Source organism: Homo sapiens, chromosome 8 (genome assembly GCF_000001405.40).
Source record: "Homo sapiens chromosome 8, GRCh38.p14 Primary Assembly".
Classification (NCBI taxonomy): Eukaryota; Metazoa; Chordata; class Mammalia; order Primates; family Hominidae; genus Homo; species Homo sapiens.
The window spans coordinates 60849442-60864235 of NC_000008.11; the positions used below are offsets into that span (position 1 = coordinate 60849442).

At 41.3% G+C, this 14794-nt stretch overlaps 1 protein-coding gene across 10 annotated transcripts in view; it reads left to right on the forward strand.

Moving 5' to 3' along the window:
- The window catches only part of CHD7 (chromodomain helicase DNA binding protein 7), a 189289-nt gene that overhangs the window by 170702 nt on the left and 3793 nt on the right, over window positions 1–14794 (forward strand). For 4 of the 10 annotated variants that reach the window (XM_011517553.3, NM_017780.4, XM_011517554.4 and 1 more), the window contains 12 exons: window positions 1052–1181; window positions 1591–1663; window positions 1821–1878; window positions 2578–2806; window positions 3057–3265; window positions 3388–4059; window positions 4922–5082; window positions 6534–6761; window positions 7004–7447; window positions 11463–11684; window positions 12755–12895; window positions 13107–13211. In XM_011517553.3, the coding sequence (XP_011515855.1) occupies window positions 1052–1181; window positions 1591–1663; window positions 1821–1878; window positions 2578–2806; window positions 3057–3265; window positions 3388–4059; window positions 4922–5082; window positions 6534–6761; window positions 7004–7447; window positions 11463–11684; window positions 12755–12895; window positions 13107–13211 (2672 nt within the window). The remainder of the gene's footprint in view (window positions 1–1051; window positions 1182–1590; window positions 1664–1820; window positions 1879–2577; window positions 2807–3056; window positions 3266–3387; window positions 4060–4921; window positions 5083–6533; window positions 6762–7003; window positions 7448–11462; window positions 11685–12754; window positions 12896–13106; window positions 13212–14794) is intronic. The other 6 variants (XM_011517555.3, XM_017013613.2, XM_047421946.1 and 3 more) reach the window with 4 other exon arrangements.

Consider the following 14794-nt stretch of genomic DNA (forward strand, 5'->3'; position numbering starts at 1 on the left):
AAACTTTGCTTCCAGCGCGGCTTCCCTTGCTAACTCTGCCAACCAGTGTCAAAGTGGACGGTGGGCTTAACCTCTGCTATTAATCTGTACAAGTGCCTCCTGGGCTTTGTTCCAAGCAATATTTCACAAATGTCAGTGCTGAGAACTCGCGGCTCCCCTGAGTGGGATGCAGCCTTGTTAACTTTGAAAGGCTGGGGATGCAGAACTGGCATGATATATACAGTGAGCGATTCCTGATTATAATCCCAATTCTCTGGAGGTCGCGGAGGTATTCTCAGCAGCCCAGCCTGACTAAAGGGGAGAATGATGGCTTATAAAACCTTTCATGATTACAGTTTGGCTTGCGGCTCTACAGCAGTTAGGAGCGGTGTGTTGTAGTACACATCCTAATTGAATTGTGCTGTTCTGCCTATGTACTGCAGCCACATTTTGTGAGCTCAGCCTCAAAATCATTTTCCCGCAGTGCACTGTTGGGATCTGCCATTTTCCATCTAGTCAACTTGGGCAGTCAAAAAGCAAATTGCAGTTTGAAAACCATAGAGGGAACCGTGTCATCTTACTGACATGCATCATCCTAAACCTAATAAGACAGGTTCGCTGGCCTTATGTATATGGGGATTTTTCAGCCAGCCATGCGAGTTCCTGCAGGACTGATGCTATTCACAGAGTGGATGGGGGTGGACTCAGTGCACCCCTGCAGAGGTCATAAAGGAACATTGCGAATCCTTCTAAATGTCAAGCAAAATTAGATCTGGGGAAAAATAGGGTCAGAAATCCTCCCAGGCATCTTGCAGTTATTCTGAACCTGTTTTTCTATTAGTGTTTGTGGTAATTCTGATAATATCCCTGAAGTGTAACTTGGCTCCCAGTAGCTTCCCTAGAAGGAGCGTTCCATAGAATGATCTACTAAAACAAGGTCCACTTGGATTCAACAGAGATGCTAACCTTGACTGAAAAACAAACTTGTGTTGTGGCAGTGCTGTGATTTTGCCAGTGATGGGGCCTTTCTTTGTTTCTGTGTGTTTTCTGTGCACGGATGGGCACGGCACAGGCTATGAGAAGTACAACTCCATGCGAGCTGACCCCGCGCTGTGCTTTCTGGAACGAGTCGGTATGCCTGATGCCAAGGCCATAGCTGCCGAGCAAAGAGGAACAGACATGCTAGCAGATGGTGGTGACGGGTAAGAAGGACATTTTAAAATTTGAATAAACTTTATGTCAGTTTCACATCTATTGGCAGGGTTCAGTTCTTACCCTGCAGTACACACTGTATTGTGTCTGATTTGAAGTTCAGGAGATGTTTACCAGTCTACTCTATTTGTATGTCGTAATGACTGTTTAAACAATATACATTATCTTGATAATCTGAAACTTGTTTTTCTTTTCCAAATGTCATTTCCCGCAATCTCCCCAGACCCCCTCCACCACACTGCCATGGCTGCATGTTTTAAATACTGATAGAGTTGCTTTTGATGTCAAACCCATAATTAAAAGTAGCACTGGGCAGATTATTACTCTTTCCTACCCACCCCCCTTCCTTCTTTTGCTTATCAGTATGATTCAAATAATTTTTGTGTTTGTTTTACATAGGGGAGAATTTGATAGAGAAGATGAAGACCCAGAATATAAACCAACCAGAACACCGTTCAAAGATGAAATAGATGTATGAACTTGAGTATATTGGCTTTTATAGCTCCATTAAAATATTATATGCCCACATAAGACTTGTTAAACTTTATAGATAATGACCTTTTCTTTAAAAGACAAAGAAAAATGAGACCCCAAATTAAAGTAATTCTGTTTCTTGCTTTGCTTTCAAGGAATTTGCAAATTCTCCTTCAGAGGATAAGGAAGAATCCATGGAAATACATGCCACAGGTAAGGTCCCAGAAAAGCTTGTGTAGCCGAGCAGACGTGCACTGAGCAGTCATTGTTCACGTGGTAGGGACTGTCCTGCTTCATGACAGCAGTGTCTTAACACCTTATTTCTTCTACACTGACCTGTTTTGTGAATCATTTTAATTCTTGTTAATGGCTGTGTTTTCATGACATTGAATTTCTTAGATAGGATAACTATTTCTTTGATGATAATTAGCTGATTTATATTTTACACTAATTAGTGAAAAATTTTAAGCATCTAAACTATAGCTCTTGGGAATAGAGCATAGAGCATTTGCTAAGTATTCACCTAAAATATTTTCAGTTTATTTAGAATATTGACCTTTTACCGAATATAAAATCATTACACAACAATTATGCAGTTATTTTTTATACTCAAGATGATTATTGCACATACATTAGAGGAGAGTACCTTATAAGAAGTTTATGCTGTAAAGTGTGTTTCTTTATGTAGGACTAATAAATAATGTTTTCATCCCCTCTAAGGAGGTAAAAAAGAAATAAGTGTATATATTCCAAGTGAATGTTATTACTTATTTATATTTTAAAAATGAGGGCACTGAGATGCCCTTTCCCACACTGTCATTTGAATCTTAATGAGTCATCCTGTTTTGTTGGAATACTCTGTATTGCAAGATTGCAGCTACACATTTCAAAAATGTTTTTCCACTTCCCCAGGCAAGCACAGTGAGAGTAATGCTGAGTTAGGCCAACTTTACTGGCCTAACACTTCAACCCTGACTACACGTCTGCGCCGGCTCATTACTGCCTATCAGCGCAGCTATAAAAGGCAACAGATGAGGCAAGAGGCCCTAATGAAGACTGACCGGCGCAGACGGCGGCCTCGAGAGGAAGTGAGAGCTCTGGAAGCGGAAAGGGAAGCTATTATATCTGAGAAGCGGCAAAAGTGAGTTTCTTCAAGGTTTCCACTCAGCTCCCGGTACATGCCCCTCTGCCCTGCTCCTGTAGACCCACAAGAGACAGGACTCATATCAAAGGTAGTGACCACCAAAGAAAGGCTCGCTCCAACAAAGCAGTCTGTTTCCCCACCCCCAAATAACTACCATGTATAAAGTCTGGGGGGAAGAAGAAAAGAAACAGTAAATATTAAGTCTTTTCCTGAAGTATGATGCAAGCTAATATAATCTTTCTAACAGGTGGACAAGAAGAGAAGAGGCTGATTTTTACCGTGTGGTATCCACCTTTGGGGTTATTTTTGACCCTGTGAAACAGCAATTTGACTGGAACCAATTTAGAGCCTTTGCCAGGCTTGACAAAAAATCTGATGAGAGTTTGGAGAAATACTTCAGTTGTTTTGTGGCCATGTGTAGGCGAGTATGTCGAATGCCCGTCAAGCCAGATGATGGTAGGTACATTTAGCAACAAAGTTCTATACAAAAAGACGAGTAAAGTGAAAAATAAGAAAGTGTACAATGTAGAATGCCCTTGAATTCTCCCCAAGTAAATATGAGCCCTTCTGTGTTACAGAACCGCCCGACCTCTCCTCCATAATTGAGCCGATCACAGAGGAGCGAGCCTCTCGAACTCTGTACCGCATTGAGCTGCTACGGAAGATCCGCGAGCAGGTTCTCCATCACCCCCAGCTGGGAGAGAGGCTTAAGCTCTGCCAGCCAAGCTTGGATCTGCCAGAGTGGTGGGAGTGTGGACGGCATGACCGAGACTTGCTGGTTGGTGCTGCTAAACACGGGGTCAGTCGGACGGATTATCACATCCTCAATGACCCTGAGTTATCCTTCTTGGATGCACATAAAAACTTTGCTCAAAACAGAGGGGCAGGTAATACATCTTCCTTGAACCCACTGGCAGTTGGATTTGTCCAGACTCCTCCAGTCATCTCATCTGCTCATATTCAAGATGAGAGGGTACTGGAACAAGCCGAAGGCAAAGTGGAGGAGCCTGAAAACCCAGCTGCCAAGGAGAAATGTGAGGGCAAAGAAGAGGAAGAAGAAACCGATGGCAGCGGGAAGGAGAGCAAGCAGGAATGTGAGGCAGAGGCCAGCTCTGTGAAAAATGAACTGAAAGGTGTTGAGGTCGGCGCAGACACTGGGTCCAAATCTATTTCAGAGAAAGGTTCCGAAGAGGATGAAGAGGAAAAGCTGGAGGATGACGATAAGTCGGAAGAGTCTTCCCAGCCCGAAGGTAAGGCCTTACCACTGGCCCCTCTCCTGACCCTGCAGCAGCTGGTTGTGAGATGCGTTGCTTTCTGGCAGCACGGCACCTGCTCTTTTTCACGAGTACTTAGTGTACATTTTCTTCTGTGAAGGGATAATTTCAAGTTATGCTTATATCTGTGTTTTGCTCTCGCACCTTATAGCACCTAACCATGGTATTTTGAAGAACATAAACTCTAAGAAGGGTTGCATGGACACATTAGCAATTTCTGGTTTAAGGATGGAAGTTAACTTGTAGTGAGTGACAGTGTATTAAGAATTCTATGTGATTTTAATTTTGACAAATGTGAGGGAAGGTGGTCATTCACTGAGTAAATATTGTTAATCATTTTGAAACAACTGGTGCTTGTTATGTTTTGATTCAGAAGTAAAGAGTGGGAATAGAATCTAAAAATAACCAATTTTTTAAGTCACAGTACGGTTGCTGAAACTGGCCCAGAATAAAAATAGAGCACGTACTGTGCTGTAGCTGGAACCTTCAACTTTTGACAGAAGGTCAGCCCTTTTTTCTGTGTGGAAGAACATAGACTCTTGAGTCAATGACTTGGTTGGCTATCAGCCTCTTGTAAGGTTTACTTGCACGGTGCTAGGTGGCTAGTGACTAACCTCTCTAAGCCTCTGTGTCATCATCTGCAAGATGGAAATAACACCATCTATGTTAAAGGGCTGTTGTAAGCTTTAGACAACAGTGCCCAATACCATTCTAGCCATGTAGTAGGTACTCAATAAAATGGAGCTGATTAGTATTCACATTTTTAATCATGTCCTTTCTAAACTTCAGTTTCCCTGATACTGTGGTTGTGAGTAATGCACATTAACTCATTTCTCAGCAGGAGCTGTCTCTAGAGGGAAGAATTTTGATGAAGAAAGCAATGCTTCCATGAGCACTGCTAGAGATGAAACCCGAGATGGATTCTACATGGAGGACGGAGATCCTTCAGTAGCTCAGCTCCTTCATGAAAGAACATTTGCCTTCTCGTTTTGGCCTAAGGTTGGCAGGTTTTTGTTGCTGTTGTTTTGCTGACCAAAAAGGATTAGGGTAGAGGAAATCTTTCTAGCTTGATTTTTCAAGTAATTTTAAGGTAAACTTTTGACACAGTATATGAAGACTATAGATTTTTCTTATACTTTTAAAGAATGATCTGAAAAAGCCCAAAGAAAAAAATTGTAGAACACTTTTCTAATAGGATGGGAAATGTGATGTGAAAGAAAGATAATAAGAAATAGAAGTGTGTATATGGATTGATCTTTGGCTCCATGTGGCTTTTAGGTTACTTACCCCCGTTGTCTAGCATAATGTATGGATTATCACTGTGTTTTAAAATTTTTTTGTGAAATAAAGCCTTCAGATTTAAGACAACTTTATAGTTTTGGAAACCTACCAGCTTCTTGACTTGGAAGAGGGTGTACTGTTGACCCATTTGCTTTTGACGCATTATGAGATAATTCCAAATGTAGTTATCTGTAACCAAAAGCAAAATGGAAATTACTTTTTTGGCTAAATAGTATAATTTTATAATAATTCCCTGTGTAATTTAGGTCTGTTTTTCAGGGTGAGGAAATAATCATCCTAATCACCATAACAGGGCTGTCTGGTTTAAAACAACACAAAAAATGAGCTTCAGTCAGCCTACCCCCCAGGCTCGTCTTTCCCAGTATTATTGTGTAAGAAACAAGGTGAAAATTTTGACCAAAGAATGTACTGTCAAAGACATTTTGTTTCCTCTCTCTATCCCTTTAGTTCCCCTGTTATGCTAACCTCCTTTATTGAGTGTAGGAGGGAGTTTCCCAGATCAGTCAAAGGTTATAGTAGCAGGCACTTTTAATCTATGGAAACTCAGTCTAAAGCTGTAATTAGAAATTTTTAATGTACACGCTTCAATGAAATTTGAAGTGATAATAGGTAGGGAATGCAAATTGACATTCATTAGGTGTTCCTAGGTTGGTGCCCACTTCATAATGCTGAACTTTATTAATAGTGACGCTAATGATGTCCTACTTCCTGGGACTGCAATCCAGCCTGTAGATCTGAAGGGCCAGGGCGGCAAGAAGCTAATGCAGGGTTTCCATTGTCATCTACTGACATCCACCAGCAGAGCTCTATGGAGCTTGTACAAGAGTTACTTTTTAAATATGAAGATATTTTGAAGGTGGTGATTATGTAGTACATTTTTCTGTTTTATGTAGTTCAGTGTTCGTAATTAAAAATAGCATGTTTTCTGTGTTGAAGCCACCTAGGACCTTCTGCCAGAGCAATGCCATTATAGGAGATTTTGTTTATTTACTTTCTTGTTTGATTTCTTGCCTTGTTTTCTTTTACTTTTTGTCCTCCAGTTGACTTTTAAACATTTTATGCTCTTTTGCATCTTGATGGATGTATTTATCTAGTAATTTTAACCAGGGCTTTGTTAAAATTTCTTGTGACTTTTCTTCTCCCTCCAGGATAGAGTAATGATAAACCGCTTAGACAACATCTGTGAAGCAGTGTTGAAAGGCAAATGGCCAGTAAATAGGCGCCAGATGTTTGATTTCCAAGGCCTCATCCCAGGTTACACACCCACCACAGTGGACAGCCCCTTGCAGAAGAGGAGCTTTGCTGAGCTCTCCATGGTCGGCCAAGCCAGCATTAGTGGGAGTGAGGACATCACTACGTCTCCTCAGTTGTCAAAGGTGAATTAGAATGGCTTGTTTCTGCAGCTTAAAAGGGAGCTCTCTAAGCCTTAACTGAGTTTGCGAGCTTATATTTCACTGGCCTTGCTTAGAAATAAGATAGCTGCTGTTTCCTCAGCTCTGTGCACCAGTCATGAATGCTTAATTCCTTAAGCTTCTTGTTCCTTATTTCTAAAAGCCAGCCCATATAGCAGTACTGTTTTGGCTCACTGCAACTCTGTTCTGTTGGAATTTTTCAATAGGAAGATGCCCTCAACCTCTCTGTCCCTCGCCAGCGGAGGAGGAGGAGGAGAAAAATCGAAATTGAGGCCGAAAGAGCTGCCAAGAGGCGAAATCTCATGGAGATGGTTGCCCAGCTTCGAGAGTCTCAGGTGGTCTCAGAAAATGGACAAGAAAAAGTTGTAGATTTATCAAAGGCCTCAAGAGAGGCAACAAGCTCTACCTCAAATTTTTCATCTCTTTCTTCAAAGTTTATCTTGCCTAATGTCTCAACACCAGTGTCTGATGCCTTTAAGACTCAAATGGAACTGCTCCAAGCAGGCCTTTCGCGCACACCCACAAGGCATCTCCTTAATGGCTCCCTAGTGGATGGAGAGCCTCCCATGAAGAGGAGGCGGGGAAGGAGGAAAAATGTGGAGGGACTTGATCTGCTTTTCATGAGCCACAAACGGACGTCATTGAGTGCAGTAAGTTGGGGAGCTTGCCTGCATGGCGATTGCACGTGTTGACAGCTGAGGGTCCTGTGATGCTCACGATGCTGGGCTGTGTTTCTCTCAGCAGCATTGTATGAAAGCCAGCTTCCTCCACTAAAGAAATAGTTTTACAATAAACAGTCATGATTCTGATCATTGATACAGATCACTTGGCCTGAACGAAGTGTAGCTTGAGGATGTATTCTTCCCAAGTTCTGATGTGTTGATTGCTCTCAGAAGAACAGCCAAACCTAGAAACATGTTCTTCTGAATCTAGAATTGTTATCTCTGAATTCTTGAGGTGGAACAAGTTTCATTGATATGTTTTAGGCCTGGCATTTATTAAAATTAGTATAAATGTTTCATTTTGGACCTAAGATTTGGGTTAACATAAAAAGCTAGTGACTGCAAATTCTCCTGTCTCCTTAAGTAGATATTTTAAAAATTTGAGCTGTGCTTTTGCTAGAATAGGTTTGAATAGAATGTGTGAACCAATGGATTTTGACTTTTCCTTTCTCAGTTCAGAGGAAATAAATTAATGCAGTATAATCAAAATGATTTTCTTTCTTAATCTGCTTCAACTACATCTCACCCAAAAATGTGGTGCCTGACTCACTGATGACCAGAATTTTATCCCAAAGAGCACAATTACATGTGCTTTTTTAAAAAATGGTTTAGCACTATATATCTTGAACCTATTGACCAGAAGCCCCAGTCACCATAGTGGCTGGAACTCCTTGTCTGTGTTGTGAGGAGTGGGTGCTCCAGGAAGCCTTCCAGGTACTGGGCCATCCTGGACCCTTCTTCAAGCAGTGGGACACAGTTTGGGAAACTGAAATTTGAGATTGAGGGAAGACAGTTGTCTGTTTCAACATGTTTTTACTTACACCATCCCTATTATTATTTGCCCATTTTCTATTTCTTGAACTCAGAGAAAGCTTAATAAGATGGCAGGAAAAGACATGGTTGAGTTAAAGTTCAGAAATGAAAAATAACATCCACTGAAATTTCTTTGCCCTCTGGTGGGGTCTAATTAAAACAGAAGCATTCAGGTGGCTAAGAGTAAATTTTCAAAATTGGGCCGGGCATGGTGGCTCACGCCTGTAATCCCAGCACTCTGGGAGGCCAAGGCAGGTGGATCACTTGAGGTCAGCAGTTCAAGACCAGCCTGGCCAACATGGCAAAACCTTTTCTCTACTACAATTATAAAAATTAGCCTGGTCTGGTAGCACGTGTCTGTGATCCCAGCTACTCAGGATGCTGAGGCAGGAGAATTGCTTGAACCCAGGAGGCGGAGGTTGCAGTGAATCGAGATTGCATCACTGCACTCCAGCCTGGGTGACAGAGTGAGACTCTGTCTCAAAAAAATAAAGAAAATTTTTTTCAAAATTGATTACCAATGCAGTGATCATCATAATGGTCATATTTGTTGATGGTATGATTGTTTTCAGAATCCTGTAAAAGTACACTTTGTAATGGACTAGCTGTGACTTACATGTTTTCTGTAAGTTAAAATGCCATTTCTAGGGGTATGGCCCTCAGACAGAGTTGTAGCACTAGTAAATAGCCTTCCTGTTTGAAACTACTTCTTTGATAGATTTTGTTGACTGATAAATTCTTTCTCCATAAACTTTAACAAATTGGGAAGTTTCTGCAGCTGACACTTCTTTTTGTTTGTTATCATGTTCAATATTTGTAGGTTTTTTTGTTTTTGAAACAGGGTTTGTTTTTGAGACAGGGTCTCACTCTTTCGCCCAGGCTGGAGCACAATGGCGCAGTCTCGGCTCAGTGCAGCCTCCAACTTCTGGGCTCAATTGATTCTCCCACCTCAGCCTCCCTAGTAGATGGGACTACAGGCGCGCACCACCATACCTGGCTAATTGTTTTGTATTTTTGGTGGGGACGGGGTTTCACCATGTTGCCCAGGCTGGTCTCAAACTTCTGGGCTCAAGTAATCCACCCACCTCAGCCTCCTGAAGTACTGGGATTACAGGCAATCATGTTCAGTATTTGGATCACGACACAGCTTTGTCTCTGGATCAGGTGTTAGGAATTAATAATGCAACACACGTGCTTTTTTCCTATTGCAAGTACACATTCTATTTTAAATCTGAGACTGATTTTATTCATTTCACTATTTTAAGCCGTTGTTAAGAATTTGTTGATATTTTTCTTTTTCTAAAGTCCCATTTAGAAAGCCTGAGAGAATTCCTAATTGAAGTTAGAGAATGTATTTTTAAAACTTTTTTTTTTTAACTGTCACATTTTGAAATGTAGGGATTCCTCATTTGGTGTTGTCGGGGGTGATGTGCATGCACATAAAATACAAGGAAAGCACTGCTCGATCTGTAAATAAACCAAGTAGGAAAAGATGTAAAGGCCAGCAGTGTTACCTGGATGAAAGAGGACAGATCCTAGAATTTAGTATTTTGTCAGCACTCTAACTGTGCTGCCATGAAAAAGTAAGAGTGCATTCAGCAACAGTGGACAAGCTGGCACTATTCCCTGTGCCAGCACTGAGAGTCAAAAAATACAGTCCTGACAAGTGCTTGCACTGGAGAATGCAGTGTTTAGGATGGGGTAGCACATAAATCATAATGTGTCCTGGTTGTTCATGTGTGCCACGACCAAGGGATGTCTAGGGTACTTTGTGAGCCCAAAGGAAGCCTGGGAGTGGAGGGAAGAGGATATGGGGAGAAACAGATGAAGAAGTTTCCCTATGGATGGCTGTACTTCAATTAAGTTTTGAAGATCATGTAGTAGTTGGTCATTTTAAAAGGGTTGGCAGAGAACATGTGTAAGAGGAGAGAGCCTCTTGGGTTTGAAGAACTGAGGAATTTGCTGAGGAAGTGAGCTTCAGCAGAGATGAGCTTGCAGAGAAGGCAGGATGCAAATCATGGAGGGCCTTGATGCCATTCGGAAGAACTTGGATTTTGTCCTGGAGGTAATAGGGATGCAATTATTGAAAAAAATAGGAGAGTGATGTGACATAATTTTTTGAACTGGGAAGGGCTGCATTTTAGAAAACTGACTCCAGCGTAGTGGTGTGGAGGTTGGATTGAAGATAGGTGGGATTAGAATCAGGGAGACCATTTAGGAATATTGCAATAACCTGGGTGGGAAGTGACAAAAGCCTGGGCCATGGTAGAGCTGTGGGGAAGGAGAAATGGGTGTCTGGAGGTTGAAATAACTGTAGACTTCAGTTAGTGGTGGTCTTTCCAATGTTGCCACACATGTCTGAGACAAAGTGTCCCACTACCAACAAAATTATATTGTGCACAGAGTGCCCATAAGTTACATATAGACTGGCTTTTAGAAATTCCTTTAGTATAAATTATCTTTAATATCATTATCCGGGGATCTCCAAGAGAGACTGAGAGGCCGCCTTTCATGCATATCAGCTCAGACTATACCCCCCATGTTGTATTCCCAGTGGCTGGCTTAGGATTTCAGAGCATGGAACCTTAGTGGACTATAAATTTTTTACCTAATTACTAGTTCTACAGTGTGAAGAATGATATAAAAGTTTCGTCTTCTTCTTTTTATTTTTATTTTTTTGAGACGAAGTCTCACTCTGTTGCCTAGGCTGGAGTGCAGTGGCACAGTCTCTGCTCACTGCAACCTCTACCTCCTGATTTCAAGTGATTCTCCTGCCCCAGCCTCCCAGGTAGCTGGGATTACAGGCAAGTGCCACCATGCCTGGCTAATTTTTGTATTTTTTGTAAAGATGGGGTTTCACCATGTTGGCCAGGCTGGTCTTGAACTCCTGACCTCAGGTGATCCGCCCACCTCGGCCTCCCAGAGTGCTGGGATTACAGGCGTGAGCCACCGCGCCCAGCCTCATTTTCTGACTTTTAATAGCTGTTCCCAAACAACTAGACATTGTTTCTAGTAACTATTTTCTCTTTTTGATAAAAGATCCATTCTAGGATAGCGTTTTCTTGAAATAGGACATTGTCAGAGGCTCTCTCTTCGTGTGAGAATTCATACCATTGTGAACTTTCTGCAGGAGGATGCTGAGGTGACCAAAGCTTTTGAAGAAGATATAGAGACCCCACCAACAAGAAACATTCCTTCTCCCGGACAGCTGGACCCAGACACACGGATCCCTGTTATCAATCTTGAAGATGGGACTAGGCTGGTGGGGGAAGATGCTCCTAAAAATAAGGATTTAGTTGAATGGCTGAAGCTGCACCCTACTTACACTGTTGATATGCCAAGTTATGTACCAGTGAGTATTGCAGAGTTTAGAGTTGGAAGGAATCTTGCAGGCCGGTCCACTTCATTCCCTTACAACATAGAAATCCCTGACAGCTGGTCCCTCTGCCTTTTCCTTGAATGTTTCCTGGTCTCAAACATTTCCCAGGTCTTTGTTGTTGAATCTTCTTCATTACAGATACTAGCTTCAGGTCTGTCTTACTGAAGGCAGCCTTACAGTTATTTGAAGATGCGCGTTATGCATTTCCTTACTGTTTGCTTCTCCCATCAAACTCATGTGACTTCTTCAGTTATTCTTTCCATGGCATCGTTTCCAGGCAGTCTTAGTATTGGGGTAACACTGTTGAATGCACTTTCTCCAGTCTCCAGACGAGGCCCCGCCATCCCAGAGTGCTATGAAGCCAATTACTTCCAGAGATTTGACCAGTTAGTGCAGCCCAAGATTGTATTAGCTGCTTTTATGGCAACTAATCCTGGTGCCTTATATTAAACGTTAGACAGTTCATATCTCCAAATGGTTTGTCACACGAACTGTTTGCTAGCTAGCAATGCAAGTCTTTTGCTTTCTGTATTTATGTGATTGATTTTTTAAAACTTAAATGTAGAGTTTTACATTTTATTTTGTTGGGTTCAGCCTAGAGTTCTTGCCACTCAGAAAGTACCCCCACCCCCTACAAGATCTGTCTGTTTGTTGGTTAGTTCTCATTACAGACAGTCTCATGTTGTTGATGGGGTATCATCTCTGTGTTCATTGGAGCCACTAACTAGAAATTAGTAAAAGTACTACAGAAAGCCTCCTTTAAAAGTATCATGACTTGGTTAAACATTTAAAGAAAAACTTTAAGTGAGGTTATTGATAGATAAAAGGAAAAGCCAATTCTCACTTATGTATTCCTTAATGGACGGGTAAAATAGGAGTTTTTTCTTTCAAAGAGAAAAATATGGTTTCTAATATTAATAATTAAAATGATTCTTGAAACTTCCATAATAATTGAAGATGATCTGACAGTTCTCTTTGGCATTTATATAGAGAAGAATAAGTACTAAATACCAATTTTACTAAATATGTTTTTTCTTTTGCAGAAGAATGCAGATGTGCTGTTTTCCTCATTTCAGAAACCGAAACAGAAACGACATAGATGTCGAAACCCTAATAAATTGGATATAAACACTTTGACAGGAGAAGAAAGGGTGCCTGTTGTCAATAAACGAAATGGGAAGAAGGTAAACGCTGGGAAAGGGAATTGATCACTATGCGATTTCTTAGCCCAGAAGGAAGTGTTTTATCCTGCCTTCTTCTATAGGGGAAAAGAATCCTGTCTGCCCGAATGCGTGTGTGCGTGTATGTGTGTATTATAGAAGGGGGAGGGAGTAGATTAACAGAAAGGGGAGGGAAGACTGTGTTTTTAATCATTTGTCAAATGCCTCTACCCAGATGGGTGGAGCTATGGCGCCTCCAATGAAGGATCTACCCAGGTGGCTGGAAGAAAATCCTGAATTTGCAGTTGCTCCAGACTGGACTGATATAGTTAAGCAGTCTGTAAGTACAAACTGCATTTCTATCAAGAAAGGTAGCTATACAAAACTGTTTTCCTTAGTCTTTCTTATTTTCTGTTGGCCATTAATTATTCAGTTGTAACTTAGCTTAAAAGAATTGACATAATACATCATTTTCATACATCATTTCATACATCATTAATACATCATTAATCCAAAGTGAATTCATTTATCAGCTCCAATTTAAAAGGTTTGTATGGAAACATACATTCACAATCTTAGAGGTAGACTTCTCCAGGGGGGATTGCCCCAGCTAAGCCTACTTAACAGCTCACCTGTGGAATAGGATGTATGGTGGTTGAGATCATTAAGATTAACTGTGATTTCTGATTTAAAAACAAAACAAAACAAAACAAAACAAAAATACAACAGTTCTGCCTAAAAGATTTGTTACCATTAGCTTTTTAAAAATTCGTTCATGACATGCTGGTTCTTTGTTTTAATTATACATTAAAAATGTCTTTCGGTGTAACATTCTGTTGATCTTAACACACGTGTGAGTTTGTGAACTGACACCGTAGTCAGAATAGGGTTCCATCCCCCACCCCCACCACCCCGAGTTCCCTCACACCGTCCTTTCCCCGACCCCAGCCCCTGGCTGCCGCTGACCTGTTGTCCATCCCTGTCTTTTTGAGAATGTCCTGAAATGGAAGCATGAAGGACATAAGTCTTGAAGCAGTTTCTTTCGCTCATCATATGGAAGGTCATCGATGGTCACATGTGTCACAGTTATCTCCTTTCTGTTGCCAAGTAGCTGTCTCCATTGCATAGATGTGACACTGGACGGCTTAGCCCTCACACACTGAAGGACATCTGGGTTATTTCCTGATTTTTGAAACTATGATTAGAGCTGCTATAAGCAATTGTGTACAGGTTTTGGTGTGAACATAAGTTTTCATTTTTCTAGGGTAGATACTAAAATATAATTACATTTTCCATATTTCAAAAATACTTTTACATATATTTGAAATATCCAAAATAACACATTATAGAGGGCATAAAACATCCTGGGTTTATATTATGTTATACTATTTTATAATTTTTCTCCCATACAATATCTTTTTTTTTCTTTTTTTTTTTTTTTTTTGAGACAAGGTGTTTGTCACCCAGGCTGGAGTGCAGTGGTGAAATCACAGCTCACTACAGCCTCATTCTCCTAGGCTCAAGCAATCCTCCCACCTCAGCCTCCCAAGCAGCTGGCACTACAGGCACACATCACCAAGCTTGGCTAGTTTTTGTATTTTTTGTAGAGAAGGCATTTTGCCACGTTGCCCAGGCTGGTCTCAAACTCACCTCAAGCAATCTGCCTGCCCTGACCTCCCAAAGTGCTGAGATTACAGGTGTGAGCCACTGTGCCCAGCCAAAATTTTTTTTTAATTGACAGATATTTAATTGACAAAAATTAATTGATGAATCAAATATATATGCAAGGTGTACAGCACAGTGTTTTTTTCTTTTAAGAGACAGGGTCTTGCTGTGTCACCCAGGCTGGAGTGCAATGGTGCAATCATAGCTCACTGCAGCCTCAAACTCCTGGGCTCAAGCAGTCCTCCCACCTCAGCCTCC